Here is an 18,457-nt window from a genome sequence, read left to right as displayed (position 1 = left end):
TATCCTTACCTCTAGGATGTGGTAGATATATTTATTTACATACATGACTATTTTGTTTTAAAGGTGGCAGTTCTCATTCCTTTCCGTAATCGCCATGAACATCTTCCAATTTTTTTCTTACATCTGATTCCAATGCTCCAGAAGCAGCGGCTGGAATTTGCGTTTTATGTCATTGAACAGGTGAGAATACTTTTCATAGTGGTCACTAAGTATACTAGAATCTAAACTCTTAGATATGGTTAGATTAAACATATTTAGGATTAATAAGGTAAGTCTGATTCTTAGTTTAGTTTTTTTGAGACAGAGTCTTGCTGTGTTGCCCAGGCTGGAATGCAGTGGCGCGATCTCGGCTCACTGCAAGCTCCGCCCCCCAGGTTCACGCCATTCTCCTGCCTCAGCCTCCCAAGTAGCTGGGACTACAGGCACCCGCCACCACGCCCGGCTAATTTTTTATATTTTTAGTAGATACAGGGTTTCACCGTGTTAGCCAGGATGGTCTTGATCTCCTGATCTCGTGATCCACCCCCCTCGGCCTCCTAAAGTGCTAGGATTACAGGTATGAGCCACTGTGCCCGGCCAAATTCTTAGTTTTATACTTGGGTGAAATTACATTTTGGATTGGGCCCATATATTTCTTTTATAATAATTGTAATTTGGTCAAATGACTTAATCAGCAATCATGTTTCACTTTAGTATGACAGCCTCGTTATATTTTAATGATATTCTAAATATAGGATTGTCAATCTATGGTTTTTAAAATAACTGTACAGCTTATATTTACCTTACAGGATTAAATGTGTCTTTGGCTTATAGTATTATTACTTTTTATGTTTTCATTAGGCTTATGATGTTTATTTTTGAAAACCTCTGTAAAGTTTCATTTAATTGAGAAACTGTTTATTTTCTAATTTAGGCTACTTGGCAGCATTTAGACTCATGTACAGACATCTGGACTCATAACTGGTACAACTCAAAGTTCTTTTCTAAATTATACCAAAGCACCGTACAGTTACCTTGGTTATATTCGCAGTGTTTAATTTGAAAAAACATTTCAGTTTATGACCCATGAATTTAACTACAGAAAAGGAAGGAAAGTTTTTTTCTTTTTTTAACACAACAGCAAAGCATAGTTAATTCTCGATTGAGGATTTCTTTGTACTGTGGGGTAGTTGCTGGCTATCCCTGAAAATCAATATTGGATTAACTTTATTAGGTAATCAGAGACACCTGAATGACAGCCAGTTAGTAAACCTAAAAACAAAAAGTAGTATACATTAAACATTTTCTGTCCTGTTTTCAGTTTTTCATTTTCAAAGTCATCTTTCTTGGTAGAGGAACCTTGACTGTTTTTGTTGTAGGATATAGACCCAGCTCTACAGTTGGTAAGTAAATATGCATCCATTGAACTGACAGGTCAAAAAAAAAAAAAAAAAGCATACATTGCATGGAAGACTAAACTATGTGATGCCCAAGATCCCTTCCAAATTTGAGATTCTATGATTCTTTTAGAAGAGAGAACCAGGTGGAGAATGGAATTTTAAAATATTGTCAAAAAAGCTTATTCGTTTTGTTTCTGAACAGATGCTATCAAAGCTGAATAAATCATAATTCTTTAACATAGTTAATTTAAATAGAGTTGAAATGACCTTGACTTACTTTTTGTAGTCTTTGTTTAAAGGCTATAAAGTGTAAATATAAAGAATTTGGCCTGGCATGGTGGCTCACACCTGTAATCCCAGCACTTTGGGAGGCTGATGTGGGTGGATCACATGGTCAGGAGTTCAAGACCAGCCTGGCCAAGATGGTGAAACCTCGTCTCTACTAAAAATACAAAAATTAGCCGGGCATGGTGGCAGGCACCTGTAATCCCAGCTACTTGGGAAGCTGAGGCAGGGAAGTGCTTGAACCTGGGAGATGGAGGTTGCAGTGAGCCAAGATTGCGCCACTGCGCTTCAGCCTGGGCGGCAGAGCGAGACTGTATCTCAAAAAATAAAAATAAAAATAAAAATAAATTGAAAAAAAGAATTTAATTTTCTACATTATTTCTAAACATGGATAGAGTGATGTTTTGGAAACCTAAAAAAGATCTGATAACACTTAAAGACCAGTTCTCCATAGCAGCTTGTATCACTTTTGGTATTGTCACCTCATATTTAAGTGTATGTGATAGATGGTAATTTTCTGTTAATGTATACTGACCTTTCCAATTGCTTTACATCATTGCCAGCACTTGGTATGGTTTGTCTTTTTAATTTTAGCCATTTAGTGGGTCTGTGGTAGTATCTTATTTCCCTGATGATTAATGTTGATGATCTTTTCATGCACTTATTTGCTTCCCACATACCTTCTATGGTGAAGTTTCTGTTCAGATCTTTTTCTCATATTTTAATTGGGTTGTCTTTGTTTTTACTGAGTTGTAAGAATTATTTATGTATTTTAAATACAAGTCTTTTGTAAGACATAAGTTTTGCAAATATAGTCTATGGCTTGCCTTTTTATTCTTTTGACTGTTTTTTGAAAAGTTTTAAATTTTGATGAAGTCCAATGTATTGATTTTTGTTTTTATAGCTTGGGCTTTTTGTATTATATTTGAGAAATTGTTCTGTATGATTTTCTCTTTCTTCCAGAAACTTAATAGTTTTAGCTCTTACACTTAGGCTAATCATTGAGTTAATCTTTAGATATGATATGAGCTAAGAGTGAAGTTTCGTTTAGTTGTTTCATCACCACTTGTTGCAAAGACTGTTTTCGCCATTGAATTGCTTTAGCATCTTTGTTGAAAATCACTTAATATATACACGTCATATGTATGCAGGTCTTTTTCTGGTCTCTGTGTTCCATTGACTCTGCTTGTCAGTTTCTACTAAAAGGTCTGCTAGGCTTTATTTCCTTAGTTTTGAATAGGTAAGTAACAGTATAAATGATAGACAAAGTTACCTGGCTTGTATTATTAGATACTTTTATCTTCTCTCTTTTGGTAGAAAATACTCAAAAAAGTTTTTTTTTGAGACAGAGTCTGCCTCTGTCGCCCAGGCTGGAGTGCGATAGCACGATCTCAGCTCACTGCAACTTCTGCCTCCCAGGTTCAAGCGATTCTCCTGTCTCAGCCTCTCGAGTAGCTGGAATTACAGGCACCCACCATCATGCCTGGCTTATTTTTGGAAAATACTCAAATTTTTATTCCTAAAATGGTTATAGTTTCTCCAGTTCCTTTATTCTAAATCTGCCTTTTTGTTTTGTTTTGTTTTTTGTTTTGTTTCTCACTCTCAGCTTTTTACCTCTGCTTTTTCTCCGTGGAAATGCTTGGTATTTAATATAACATACCATACTTCTGTGTGTATAAATCATTCTTTAAGTTTTGTGCCTTATGTACTTTTTAATGTAACAATCTGTACTGTGAAATCTGACTTGTTTTACCTAACAAGTGGAAATTCTCATCTACTTTCATGGAGCTGTAGTTGTAGATTTCTAGATCAGTTTTACTGATCTAGGAAAGTGCTAGTTTCCTTTGTGTAAACTTCAATTCCCCATAATGTGTGGAGAGGTGAGAGAGCTGTCTCTGGTTTTTTTTTTTTTTGTTTGTTTGTTTGTTTTGTGATGGAGTCTCGCTCTGTCGCCAGGCTGGAGTGCAGTGGCGTGATCTCGGCTCACTGCAACCTCTGCCTCCTGGGTTCAAGTGATTCTCGTGCCTCAGCCTCCCGAGTAACTGGGATTACAGGCATGTGCCACCACACCCAGCTAATTTTTGTATTTTTAGTAGAGACAGGGTTGGCCAGGATGGTCTCGATCTCCTGACCTTGTGATCCACCCTCCTCGGCCTCCCAAAGTGCTGGGACTACAGGCATGAGTCACTGCAGCCTGTCTCTGTTTTTAAAGGCATATGGTCCTGAGAATTCAGCACCAGTTATTTGGTGTATGTGATGAAACAATCTTTGCAAGGCAACTAAGGTCTGCGTTTTTATTTTCAAACCTTTTAAGTCTTAATCTCAGGCTTGATCAATATTAATTCAGGACTGTGTATTTGATAGAGTGAGATTTTGAGCTAGAAACATCTTCACCATATTTGAAATAGAAAAGTAATTTTTCTGCTAGACAGGTACCCAGGGAGTGCTAAGCAGTTGAAGAGCAGCTCAGGAATTCTAGTTAAATATAGAGGATGGACATGGGTTCACTGCTTCTTTCCAAACTCCTAAAATGAGAGTGAAAGAAGAAAACTTTTGAAAAGTTATTAAACCTCAAGGACAGAAAGTCGTGGGTGAGAGATTTTCACACGTTTCGGTTAAGTCAGGAAGCAGATGGAGTGCTGATGCCTAGCAGAACAGAGGATGTGCAAACCCACATGCTTGTAGAGGGTGATGTGACAAGACTAGAGTCAATTTGCTGGACACACCTCTGTCTCAGTGCTGTCACAGAAGGTAGGCTGAAGCACTGCACTAAAGTAAGGAGATTGTTTAAAAGTTTGACTACAAAACAGCCACATTCCCAGTTGCTCATCTTTACTTGTACTGCCAGGTCATTACTCTGTTGTATCTTGTAGAAACTTTTTCCAGTTTATCCTGTGGAAAAAGTGTAGCAGGAAGCTGCTGAGAGTGCTGACGCACCTGTGTGGTAGGGCATAAAACCGGGGGGTTGAGTAAATCTGCATGCTGACCCTAGGGACCCCAGGCCTTTCCCCGTCTGGCCTTTTGAAGCCAACAGCCAGGTGTGAATCTCCCCACCCCTCCAGCTGTGGCAGGGCATAGTGGTGTCTTCGCTAGAGAAATGAATTATCTCCAGGAAAAAGAGTCCAGATCTGATATTTGAAGGTCTCCAAAAGAAAAGGCCAGCCTGTCACTTTATCAGGTCCCTGCAGCCCGGTTTCATTTATTCAACAAAAGGGATGTGGCAGTGAACAAACCAGACAAGTCCCCTTCTTTTGCTGGCCCAGAAGGACCGGCAGTAGTAAATCATTCTGCAGTGTCTCCATGGCACTCAGGGTAGAGAGTGGTAAGGGCAGGTAGTGGTGCTCTTTTCTGCAGAGCATTTGGGGAAGGCCTCTCTGGGGAGGTGAGATCAGAGCATCCTGGAATGATGTAAAGGAGCACGCCATGCTGTTGTAGAGGCTGTGCACTCTGGAGAAGGCAGGAGAATACTTGGTGTGTTTGAGCAAAGAGGTCGATGTTGCCAGAGCAGCCGGCTGAGGAACATTCTGGGGAGGAAATCAGAGAAGCAAATAAGGAAGTGCAGGGTGAGGGCTTGGATTATCCTGTGTTAGGTAGATTAAGTCACTCTTCTACATAAAACCTTCAGATGACACTGGATAAAGTGATGTTTTAGAAACCGAAAGAAGGTCTGATAACACTTGAAGACCAGTTCTCCATGCCAGCTTGTACCACTTTTGGTATTGTTACCTCATATTTCACATTTAAATGTATGTGATAGGTGGTAGTTTTATATTAATGTATGCTGACCTAATGTAAGTCTCTCCTCCGCTTAAAACCCCCCACTGCCTTCTGGAGGTTCTTAAGTAGAGGAGCAACTTTATCGCTGGTGTGTTCCTCTCGACGTCCACCTGCTTGTGTCTCTTCCTGCCAGGATCTCAGGGCTTTCATAGGCAAAGGATGAGGGATACTGGGAATTCTAGGAAAAATGACCAATGATTATGAATCAGAAACCTATGAACATTCTCAGCAATACTGGGAAATTTTTTTTTCCTGGAATTTTTTACCCAGCCAAATTGACAAATGTGAGAGTAGACTAATGGCATTTTCAGTCCTTAATTGGCTAAAAGTGTATTCTCCATGGGTCTTTACTTAGCAAGCTCTTGAAGAATGTGCCTCAGGAAATTGAGAAAGCCAAGGAAAAGGCGTAGGTGATTTAGGGAATGAAGACGACCCAGGTGATATGCACACATGGTCTGGAGAGGGCAAGGGAGAGTTGGGCTTGAGAGATGGAGAAAGAATTGATAGATGATTTGATGTGTTTGAATGATTACATCAATTATTAATAGGTGTAGGGCATATTTCTTGGGCCTTCAGTACAAAGTAATAATATAATAGTTATATAGAAAACTGTAGTTATTCCCAGTTTGCAAAAGAAAACAGTTCACTCAGCACTGAAGAAATATTAAATATTTACATAGTCCTAATAATGTAAAGTCTTGATTTAACCAAAAATTATGATAAAACTATATTGGGAGAATAGAGGTAGGGGCAGGAGGTGTGGTGGTTTAACTCCTCCACTACCATGATAAGAAGTCAAGAGACAGTGTCTTAAAGTGAAAGAAGCAAGAAATATCAGAACTCTCATTTCCTCAAAATATGTAGATAAATACCGGAATAAATGGGAAGAGTTGAAATGTATTGCTCTTGGATGGAGATGGATTAGATATGGAACTTCTTATTTCTTTTATAAGCCTTTGAGTATTATGTCCACATTTAATAAAACATTTAATAAAAACAATTTTTAAAACCTTAAAAGTAGTTTGTTAAAGCTGATGTTGATGTACTAGTCATAACATTATAATTTAACTCCCTTTTCTTTTTATTTTATTTCACTGGTGAAAAAAGAGGCTGTAAAAAATAAAATGACTTCTATTACCTCAAGTTAGTGCAAGGCCTAGGACTAAAAATTAGTAATTTTTCACTCTTGAGGCAGTGCTCTGATGATGACTACAATGTGTGTCTCATTTACTTCTATCGTAATCCTTTTTTTAATATATTTTAGAAATGGTTTTGTTAAATGTTGCTAAAACACTGGTAAATGCTCTTTAATTTTCTTTATATGCAGAATGAAGGTTTTTTATTGCCAGTGCACCTTAATATATGTTCACTGATAAATAAAGGAAAATGGTTATAATATAGGGAGTTGGGTTCTGTGTAATAAAATTGTATTTTTTGTCCCTTAAAAATGCCCTTAATCTTTATCATAAGCAATAATAGAAACTATTGCCCATGTACTTTAATGTATTTTCTGTAATAATAAAGGAAAATGGTTGTAATAAAGGAAGTTGGGCTTTGTGTAGTAAGTTCCAATTGTTTTTTGTCTAAAATGTTCTTGGTATTTATTATAAGCATTAATAATAGAAAGTTAGACCTCCTTGGTATTGGTACTTTAGAGAAGGGTCACTGTTGAGTCACTTCCAGTTTCCTCTTCTCTTAGTCTTGACAGCATATGGAAAGCTCCACTAACAAAATAAAACTTATATTATTTTTAATGACTTTTTTTTTCTCGCCACAAGTAATCTATATCCTGATGTATTTGAAGTAGAGCAGAAATACAAATTATTTAAATGTGCTGATGTACCAATGGACTAGATACTGTTTTCTTCTATGTTATTAAATTATAAAATAATATAGTAAGTAAATTTAAACAGTGTATTTGAAAATCCTGAAGTATATTTATTATTTGTCTATTTCATTTGGGTCTAATTATTGTAATCATTTGATCATGATGCAACAAGTTTGAAAAATAATAGAAAAAAGTCAGATGGGGGCCGGGCGCGGTGGCTCACACCTGCAATCCCAGCACCTTGGGAGGCTGAGGTGGGTGGATCACGAGGTCAGTAGTTCGAGACCAGCCTGGCCAACATGGTGAAACCCCATCTCTACTAAAAATACCAAAAAAAAGAAAAAAAAAAAAAAAGATGATGAAGTGTGAGTACATTTCTATTTTTTTCTCTCGGTCTGCTCCATGAAGACTGGCACACAACCTTTTAACCGTGCGATGCTTTTCAATGTGGGCTTCAAAGAGGCCATGAAAGACAGTGTCTGGGACTGTGTAATCTTCCACGATGTGGATCATCTACCTGAAAATGACCGGAACTATTACGGATGTGGAGAAATGCCACGTCATTTTGCTGCAAAGCTGGATAAATACATGTATATGTAAGTAGTGTGCACTATTCCTGATATTGTACGATATAATTGCACAGTCATAGCATTGAAATGGTAGCAGCGTTATGTCCCTAAATCTGAGAGAACTCAAGAACCCCAAGAATATCATCTTTAACTCCATCGTGTCCTCCTGGGGAGCCAGGACACAGAGTGGCTTTTCGTTCCCCTGGGTGCTTCCTTACACAGAGGTTTGAATGTGGTGTGGTGGGAAAGAGAGCCTGGTTTCTGTGGTCAAGCACACACAGATTTAAACTTGGGTTCTCACACTTACAGTTCCAGGACTTATAGGTTAGTCACTTGCATCTCTGAAGGTGTATTCCTTGTTCACTGGGATAATAGATTCCATCCATAGAGCTGCTGTGAGATCACATGTGCTCTGTGCCTGCTGTGTGGTAGGTGCATAACTCATCTTGACTCCTGCCTGCTCTCCCCCAGTGATGGTTTGGAGGGCCACAAAGCCCTCTCTTCTGCTGTTTATCTTCTTCCTAAGGTGTGCATTCTTGACCTGCCCTTTAATAATAAAAAAAAAAAACCCAAATCTTTTCCTTCTCTAATTGGAGATAATTTAAAATGAACAGTTATCAGAGCTGAGATAGTAACTTAAAAGGACATGAAAGAATGCAAGTCTAATATGGGAAAAGGATCACAGTTTTCATTGGCCTAATGGGAGTAGAGAGAAAATCTGTTTGTTGCTTAGGGCAGGAAGATGTTGCCTGTGTCACAGTTTTGCCTGGTGCTAATCTAGAGTACAGAGAAGCAAAAAGTCTGACACAAGCAGGAAAAGAATGCTTGTTTCTTTCTTCTTCTTCCTCTTCCTCCTCCCCACTCCTCCTCCCCACTCCCGCTCCCCTCCTTCCCCCTCCCCGCTTCCGCTCCCCTTCTTCCCCCTCCCCCCTTCTTCCTCTTCCTTCCTTCCTTCCTGCTTCTCCTTCTCCACCTCATCCTTCTCCTCCTCCTTCCTTTTTTTTTGCTGGTCATTGTTATCATTAGAAAACCTTTTTCTTTATTACCTCTGTATCTGAACTTTGAGTATGGGGTTACCTTGAAGAAGGCCATCAAGGTTCACAATCTGGTTCTCTTTTTCTTTTTTTTTTTTTTTTGAGACAGAGTCTCGCTTTGTCGCCCATGCTGGAGTGCAGTGGTGCGATCTCGGCTCACTGCAAGCTCTGCCTCCCGGGTTCACGCCATTCTCCTGCCTCAGCTTCCCGAGTAGCTGGGACTACAGGCGCCTGCCACCACGCCTGGCTAATTTTTTTGTATTTTTAGTAGAGACGGGGTTTCACTGTGTTAGCCAAGATAGTCTTGATCTCCTGACCTTGTGATCCACCCGCCTCGGCCTCCCAAAGTGCTGGGATTACAGGCATGAGCCACCGTGCCCGGCAACAATCTGGTTCTTACCACTTCTGGAAACTTGATTTCAGTCAGTTTGCTAGAATCACATTAGATCCAGGGTAACCGATTTTCACAAAAAAAAAAAAAAAAAAAAAAAAAAAAAAAAAAAATCATAAAGGGCATATAAACTAAGAATTCTAAATTAATTTATTGTTAAATTCTAAATGAATTTGTTGTCTAAATAATTTGTTGTTAACTTGAAAATATCAATTTCTAATAAAATACAGTTGACCCTTGAGTAATGCAGGGGTTACAGTGGTGACCACCTCCCCCAGCCACCGGAATGCAGTTGAAAATCTAGTATAACTTTTGACTCCCCAAAAGCTTAACTACTAATAGCCTACTGTTAGCCAAAAGCCTTACCAATAATATAAACAATTGAGTAACACATATTTTGTATGTTATATGTATTGTATACCATATTCTTACCATAAAGTAAGCTAGAGAAAAGATGTTATTAAGAAAATCATAAGGGAGGGAAAATATATTTACTGTCCATTAAGTGGAAGTGGATCATCCTGAAGGTCTTCATCCTCATCGTCCTCACGTGGAGTAGGCTAAGGAAGAGGAGGGATTGGTCTTGGGGTCTCAAGGGTGGCAAGGTGAAAGAATTGAAGATGGAAAAGGAGGCAGGAGAGGCACATTCTATGTAACTTTTATTGAAAAAGAAATTGTATATCAGTGGACTTGTGCAGCTCAAACCTGTGTTGTTCAAGCGTCAGCTGTATTCATATCCATCTAGACTAGTCCCTGGATTGGTTAGGCATCTTGGACGTTTGTAGAGAAATTAGAATGTAGCTCTAGGAGAATGGCAGTAGATCAAGGCCTGGTCTGGGCAGTGCATAGACTTCAGCTGTGGGATGAAGCCTGGTGAAGCGTCCCTGCCCCACAGTGATGGCCACACTACTGCTGACCAGAGAACTCAGACTCTCAGGTGTAGTGTCTCTCCCACTTTTACAGTGTAAGATAAACACTGCAAGAGTTTGACTTGTTGGGTTTTGTTTTCTCTTCTTTAGTTTATCTGTTATACCTTCATTTTACCTAATAACTTTCCATTATTCATATAGCACAATTGATTATTTCCACTTAGAGCAATAAATGGAATTGATAGGCTTGCTGATTTATACATGTCAATAAGCACACAGACACATTTATTCATGTTTCCCTATCTGACGATCTCAGGTTTTTCCTAAACTACTAGCCTGGGCAAGAATAATCCATCTGATGTGGGAAGTACACGGTGCCAAGAATGCTTATTGGCCCTGTGGAACCCCCAGCTAGTCTTACTGTAATACCAGAACACTAAGCTCCCAAGTGTGAGCCTTGAGAGGTCTCAGGAGAGTATGGTTGTCTTTAGGATCAGTGTTGCTGTTACCATCTTGGAGTACCTTTGACCTAGGATGAGGGCAAGACTGCTTTCTCCTACAACCCTAGGCTTCCATGAAAGAACCAGTCTTCCCTGGTCTGTGTGCCACACAAGACCCCAGCTGGCAAACAGCACGTCCTTCTCAGAATGTGAGGCGAGTGTCTAACAAAAAGTTCCCTCCTCTGAGACAGCTTTGCTGTGGTTGCAGCCAGGTTTCCCTCAGCTTGATTTTTGGGTGCTGTGCATGGTCACGTTTTCTCTGCTCTGGCATCTGCTCCCCAGGGGCGTGTTTCAGTCCATGGGAATATATTCAGGATTGCAGGTCTAGGGATGCTGCCTAAATGTCAGAAAGCCAATCTATACCTAAACACACAGTTTAGCTAAGTAAAAATATAGTTTAGAAAAGTTTAAAAACATTGCATCGTTTGACACATTCCTTGGAGTATGAGTTAGGAAAGGGTAAGGAAAATAAAATCCAAACAAAAATAGTTATTTCTGTAAATATCAATGCATTGAAAATGAATATATTTGTAAATATCCATGAATATTTTGAGAGTATAATTCCAACAGATAAGATCATTATAAAAGTAGGTAGCTAGACAATTAAATGCTAGAATTGTCTTTTGTAATTGATATTTATCCTGCTCTATATAATAAATAATGCGTTTATAATTCAGTTAATTTTTTCAGTGTTACTAGTTTAGGAACATCTGACATGCATTGACCATTATAAATATATTTAATCATGTTTACTTTTGCTGTGAAAATATACAATTTGGGGGCACTGGGTTTTGAGCCTTACAGATTTTATTTTGAGTCTTATTTGTATACTAAATATTAAATTTAGGTTTCCATAAGTGCTTTACATTTAACATAACACATGTACATGTACTTGTTTCACTAGAATATAAAAATGTTTTATGTCTTGGTGTACTTTACATTTTCTAACATAATTGTCTATATAGAATATAAGGGCATATTTTGCAAAGCACATAAAAGGCTGAAACCTTCATTTCACATGGGAAATTATTATGATTTTATTTTTAGAATACTGTGTCTTTCTTTTCTAGTCTTCCATATAAAGAATTTTTTGGTGGTGTAAGTGGGCTGACAGTGGAACAATTTAGAAAGATCAATGGTTTTCCTAATGCCTTCTGGGGATGGGGAGGAGAAGATGATGACCTTTGGAACAGGTATGTTGAGGTACAAATTGTTCACTAATAGAATTTTTATAAATCTTATTTATATTAGGTAAATTGTAGTACTTATCCATTCCAAGAACATTCTTTGGGATGGGATATGTTTGAGGTTTCTAAACCCTGTTTTATATTTCTCTTTTTTTTTCATTAAGTCTGCTTTCTGAAATTATTGGCAGCATATAATTAGAGCAGCGGTCCCCAACTTTTTTGGCACCAGGGACCAGTCTCCTGGAAGATAATTTTTCCAAGGACCCAGGAGGATGGTTTCGGGAGGAAACCATTCCACCTCAGATCATCAGGCATTAGATTCTCATAAGGAGCATACAACCTAGATCCCTCACATGTGCAGTTTACAATAGGGTTTGTGTTCCTCTGAAAATCTAATGCCATTCGCTGATCCGACAGGAGGTGGAGCTCAAGCAGTAATGATCGCTCACCTCCTGCTGTGCGGCCCAGTTTTTAACAGGCCATGGACCTATACTGGTTTGTGGCCCAGGGGTTGGGGAACCCTGGATTAGAGCATTCTTTTGTGTTTTAAAATTGAACTCACATAACCCATTTTCATATTTTATTTCTCTATATTTTCATTTCCATATATGGCATTGTAGAGTTCACTATGCTGGATATAATGTAACCAGACCAGAGGGAGACTTAGGAAAATACAAGTCAATTCCTCATCACCATAGAGGTGAAGTCCAGTTTTTAGGACGGTAAGTTGAATGTCATCTTCAGATACCAAGGTTTCCAAAGCTGTTGAATAAATGAAAGGTAAATAAAAATGCATTGAACCCCAAAAAAGCTGCTGAAGGGAATTTTCATAATGGAAGGGAAGTATTTTTTGCTGAAGGGAATCTTTACAAAAGGAAGCATTTTTGATGCTTGTTTTTAAGAGATATACGTATATATACATTAATAAATACACATATTTACGTTAAAGAGCCCGGTTAACTATTTATGTAAAAGTATTTACGTAACATAAAGCATAATGTTTTATTTATTAAAGATGTCTAATTGTAAAAGTGCAAAATAATTTTTTCAGGTGGCATTTCTTGAGTAGTAAAATTGCTAATTTAGAATAATGGTTTAGAGATTCTTAAATTATGCACAAGAACCAGAAATTGTAAAGGGCATTAAGTGCTTTAATTATAAGATGACCTTGAACACAGTCCTTATCAGTTTTCCTTTTTGAACATGTTTTGTTGCTTTTTTGTTTTTTCCTCTAAAACTATAGGTATAAATTACTAAGGTATTCCAAGGAGCGTCAGTACATCGATGGACTGAACAATTTAATATATAGGCCAAAAATACTGGTTGATAGGTTGTATACAAACATATCTGTAAACCTCATGCCAGAGTTAGCTCCAATCGAAGACTATTAAAAGAAGTGGCTGTCGTGGCAAGGTAGACCACAATGCTGGATCATAAACTTGGAGCGCGCTCTTAGTGGAGGTCAGTGATTGGCTGTGTCACAGTGCCCTTTTCTCTGAGAAGAGCCAGCAGTCCACAGTGTTTACAGAGTGGGACTATATACAGTCACCCTTCTCTCACCCGTCCTCCCTGCTCTGAGACACACCCCTGTGGCGAGCACCGCAGAAACGGGAAGCCACTACTTAAGATCGGAAGTTAAGAGAGCTCCCTCCGAAGAGAAAATTTTTATACTAAAATCTATAATTTAATTCAAGAGAATGCTTTTATTTCCGTTTAAACATATTTTGTATATATGTGATATAAATTAATGTGTGCAAATTGTTTAAAAATTAGATGTGTTGCAGTTTTGCATGTAATCGGTTATACCTTTATTGGACTTTTATAGACATTTTTTATTTGCATGAAAAAAACTCACTAAATTTACATCACTAAACAAAGGTTAACCCTTGTGTGAAATGAAGGAACTGTCAATAATTGACAGCCAACTAATACAGTAAACTGTTATACTAGTTTTGAGCTTTAGACCTCAGCCTTTTGTGTGGAAGAAGTCACAGCTTTCTTAGGCTTTAAAGGAAAAGAAGGAAGGACTTAAATAGCTTTTCTTCCTACCGGGATTACCTATGTTTTTCCTTGCTTGCAATCTCATCTGATTTTGCTAGAAATCACAACCATATTGTTTATGCATATTGCATGAGTATTACCAAGAAAAATCTTAAAAGTTGTGATGTGACATGATATAAAGGATCTCTTTATGTTAAATGTCTTTCCATGTACCTCTGGTGTGTCAGGGATTTTGTGCCTCAAAAAATGTTTCCAAGGTTGTGTGTTTATACTGTGTATTTTTTTTAAATTCACGGTGAACAGCACTTTTATTATTTCCAGTTCAGAAGAGCCAAAAAAAAGTATCTTCATTTAAAAAGAAATCAAGTCAGTTTTTTTAAAAGAATGATCTATGGAAGAAAACCCAATAGTACTTATAATATACAAATGAATTATACTATTAGATAAGAATTAAATATTCTATTTTTATAAAGATAAATACTTAGTAGATAAAAACAAATTTTAAGTTTAGTTTTCAGACATAGAATTTCACTTTTGGAGGGGACCCTTGAATGTTAGTTTCATTCAAACTATATTTTGTTTTTTTCACTTTTAAGAGATTATATCTCTGGTGTTAATTACTAAAATTTTCTTTCTAAAAGTATAATTTAATAGAATTATCTTAAAATACATGATCAGTATTCAGTGCGCTGATATTATAATGTCTTCTATATGTAGTATCTAAAAGCATAATTTAATAGCATTGTCTTAAAATACGTGATGAGTTATTTGGTGCACTGATGCCATAATGTCTTCTATATGTAATATCTTACATGTTTGCATGAGTGTCAGGGCTTTGTCCAGTTATCTTCATATGACTGTTCTCTGAAAAAAGGTCTTACTACCTGATATCAAGTACATATCTTAATTTTGGATGAATTTTTCCACAGTAAAGCCGAACAGTATTCTTTTTTGAAAATTAGCAATTATAAAGATTGTTTAAAATATCTTGATATTTTCACAAATTTTAAACAAAAAATTAAATATCTATAAAGTGAATGTTCAACAACAATGATGAGCAATAGAAATCTATATATGAGAAACGTTTGGATAATATTTGCCTCAAGGATTGTTTACCTAAAACAGAACTATGGTTATTTATCTCAGATTGTAAGTTTTATTTTGAAGTGTCATTTTTATGGCAATATTGATAACACAAATGACCACAAACTAAATCATAAAATAATTGAATCCTTACACTTTGAGAAAATGGATAGCTTCTGTGTTATGATACCAAACAAAATATTTTCATATTTATTTCTTAGAACTATTTCCAAAATATTTATATTTCAGTTTTTTTATGGTACTCGAAAAATCAAACCTTCTGAAAATTATGATATTTGTACTTCATTTGTGTATTAGTTCATTTTCTGTTTCTATTACATAGTTTTTAAAGTCAATGAAAGAGATTGAGAATGTTAACATTTGTTGATCAATGTGGAGCTGTCCACATTCGGTATCTTTTCATTTTTATATATATTTTACAGTTTCAAGAAAACTTAGTACTACTAGTATCTGCCTTATTTTCTTAAGTCTGATGTTAATTTTTGTTTCAGGAGTGAGATATAAACATTTTGCTTTTTTTCAGTTTTGAAATATAGTTTGTCATCCTGTGAAAACCACCTCGTTTGCTTTTTGTTTGTTTGTTTTGCTTTTTTAGTGTAGACCTAAAATTATTTTTGCCTATAAACAGTGAACTTAATATGTTTCTGTGAGAGTGACAGAGCTGTGCCCGTTTATCTTCATTGTATTAATTATTACATAAAGATTAACAAATACATTGCAAATGCAAATTATAGGATGTTTGGAGGATTTATTAATGAGCATGTATTGATTGCCTATTCCATATCCAGTGCAATGCTAGGTATGTCTATGGAAGGAGTATTATTACTTCATTTCTAAACAAATGAAGTCAAGCAAATTGAGATCTTTCTGAAATTATGAAGACATCTTCTGATAACTTATCTGTTGTATTTCCTAGTCTCAAAGTCAAGAAACCCGTATATGTGGACCTAGGGCTAATAGGAGGTCCCTATGGCACTAACTGGGAAAATTACATGGTGCTTTTCAACTACAGAAAGAAGTAATGACTAATGGGCCTGTCTGTAGAGAAGAAAAGGAGAAGAGTACACATTTGCTGGAACTATATATAATTCACAGTGGAGATAGTTAATTCTTTGCTAAAACTAGGGTTTTATGAGTATTTTTTAAATCTACATTTAAGTTTTTGTTTTTGTGAAAAGTTATTCAGTAAGAAAACTTTATAATATTAAGTAGATACAGTTATGTATTAAAAATTTCCTTATATACCCTTTTGCCAGCCAAGATACTGATATTTTAAAACAAAATGGAAAAATGTCCAATACAATATTCTCTTTCTGGAGGCTTCCTACAAGTGAAAGCAGATTTTGTCATTTTATTTGGCCTTTGCTTGTCTTTGATATATTTCTTTATGTGTTTTTCAAATACATACTGTTGTAGATTTATTGTCTTGTATTTGCAAGTATGCCGGTTGAGAGAACTAAAATGGTTATAGTATTGTTTATCAGAAAGAGGAAGTGTACTTAAGATTATTTTATTTATTTAGATGAAAGGCTTCTACATAAATGCACTGAAATAAATGCTAGTAATTTCTTGTATCCCACTTCTTTTTTTGCTTCTCATGGAAATGTTTGTACTTTTTTATCATTGTCTTTTATGAAATATAATGTTCTAAAGACTTTGTGTGAAGATGTAATTATTTTCCTCTCAGGAACTTTTTTGGGTTACCTGGGATTTTTGTTTGTTTGTTATCCTAAATTTTAAATGAATTATTGATGAATATCTTGGTTGACAATAGGGTTGCAATATAAGCATAAGGTAACCACAGCTTAAATACAGGTGGAGATCACCTTATTCCTTTTATCTCAAAAAGTAGTATTTAAGTATTTTTCATTAGTACAACAATTAGTAATCTATTATATCAAGATAAATATTTAAGAATTCATTTTAGCATAAATTTTCTTTTTCCTGCACAACTTCAATAAACTAAGCTGGTGTGTTATGCTCAATTTACTACTTGTTTTTCAGGTATCGATGATTTTTAAGGCAAAGAGCCAAATTTCAAAAATACCTAGGGACTAGATTTGTATTTGAGACTAGATTGTAAGATCATGAGTTTTATCAACTTACTAGTTGTGAAATGAGTTGTAATTACTCTATGTATAATATGATCTATAGGGATATTGTCACTGCATGTCATAACTAAAACCAATCATTAAAATCATAATCATTTAAAGCCGTGAAATTTAGTCAGCTTAGTCTGCCCCACTATGGTACTAATGTGCCCTCTGGTGAAAACATAGTAACTCCATTTAATGATCATATATATATGTGTGTGTGTGTGTATGTGTGTGTATATATGATCATATATACCTGATATTCTATATACACACACACACTGTACACACACACACTTTTTGTGCTATCTTTAGACAAAGATTTAAGGTGGTTGGGTATGTTCTGGACCAAAATTTTATTTAGAGAAGTCTGTTCTTAAGGAGCATGTACTGTATTGCTCTTGATTTAAGCGACTTCAGAAAAGTGATTTGCCGCTCAACTATGCAATGAAAAGGAAAAAAAAACGGTGTGAAAAATAAAACTTGCATCTTTCTCAACACATTCCGCTAACAGATTTTGGTTGCATGCCCTTGCTAATACAGTCTTCCCAATTTTATCAGTTTAAGTATGTGCTCTGGAGGATCTTGAGAGGTATCAGACATTACCTACCCTCAAGGAGTTTACATCCTCTCTGTGTAAAACTGATGTAGCAGAAATACCTGAAGAATCACATGCTATCAAATGAGGGGCTCATTTCTGTCCTTTGCAAACGTTGATTGTCTGTTTAACTAATTGAGCATCTTTGCAGGAGCAGCTTTTCTCCAGCACGTATTTCTCAGCTGTAAACATGTACTTCAGAAGGAGATGTTGAGATAATTGTTCTTCTGCAATAGACCTTAAAAATTTGCTTAAGGATTTTGTATAAGGTGGGCTCTGTGGAAGGTGGGGGTTATAAGCAAATAGTGTAGAATTTTTACTTATAACTTAGACTGATCTGAGTTTGAATCCAGGGGTCCTCTGCCATTATCTGTGAAACATTAACACATTTTCAAACGTCTGTTGTCCTCAGTTTCCTGTTCTCTCAGTCAAGGATGATGTTCTACCCGAGGATAATTGAAATGATTAAAAATAAGCCAACTGTAGTAGAGCACTGAGTGCCACTGTGTCAGTACCTGACACAGGGAACAAAAACTTGGCTCATATTAAGTCAGTTTTTCAGCTTTAGATTAACAAGCTTTTCTTTCATGCACATTCTTGGCTTATATTTAAAGAATGATACTGCATTCTTTAATTCAAATAGAAAATGAAGTCAGTGATTACCCTACATGTGATCATGTATGTGAACAATTAGTAAAACTGGCAAAAGTGTACAATTGAAATTCGTCGGCCAGGCGCAAAGTATGCAATTGAAATTTGTCGCCTGGGCACAGTGGCTGACGCCTGTAATCCCAGCACTTTGGGAGGCCGAGGCGGGCGGATCATGAGTTCAGGAGATGGGA

The 18,457-nt window shown here is 36.5% G+C and overlaps 1 protein-coding gene across 10 annotated transcripts in view, besides 1 other annotated feature; it reads left to right on the top strand.

Moving 5' to 3' along the window:
- The window catches only part of B4GALT6 (beta-1,4-galactosyltransferase 6), a 102,396-nt gene extending 85,818 nt beyond the window's left edge, over positions 1–16,578 (top strand). For all 10 annotated transcript variants that reach the window (XM_005258387.5, XM_047437943.1, NM_001378110.1 and 7 more), the window contains 5 exons: positions 64–180; positions 7,678–7,865; positions 11,703–11,825; positions 12,440–12,541; positions 13,063–16,578. In XM_005258387.5, the coding sequence (XP_005258444.1) occupies positions 64–180; positions 7,678–7,865; positions 11,703–11,825; positions 12,440–12,541; positions 13,063–13,210 (678 nt within the window). In that variant the 3' untranslated portion in view covers positions 13,211–16,578. The remainder of the gene's footprint in view (positions 1–63; positions 181–7,677; positions 7,866–11,702; positions 11,826–12,439; positions 12,542–13,062) is intronic.
- Positions 5,098–5,337: an enhancer, noted in NCBI's record as "active region_13200". NCBI's record gives its function as "activates an Ori minimal core promoter by ATAC-STARR-seq in GM12878 lymphoblastoid cells {active_cell/tissue: GM12878}" and the evidence as "EXISTENCE:reporter gene assay evidence [ECO:0000049][PMID:35858748]".
- Positions 16,579–18,457: the final 1,879 nt, after the last annotated feature.

The sequence above is a fragment of the Homo sapiens genome, chromosome 18, assembly GCF_000001405.40.
Source record: "Homo sapiens chromosome 18, GRCh38.p14 Primary Assembly".
Classification (NCBI taxonomy): domain Eukaryota; kingdom Metazoa; phylum Chordata; class Mammalia; order Primates; family Hominidae; genus Homo; species Homo sapiens.
Note: the sequence above shows the minus strand (reverse complement) of the source record. Positions and strands in the feature narration are given on the sequence as shown.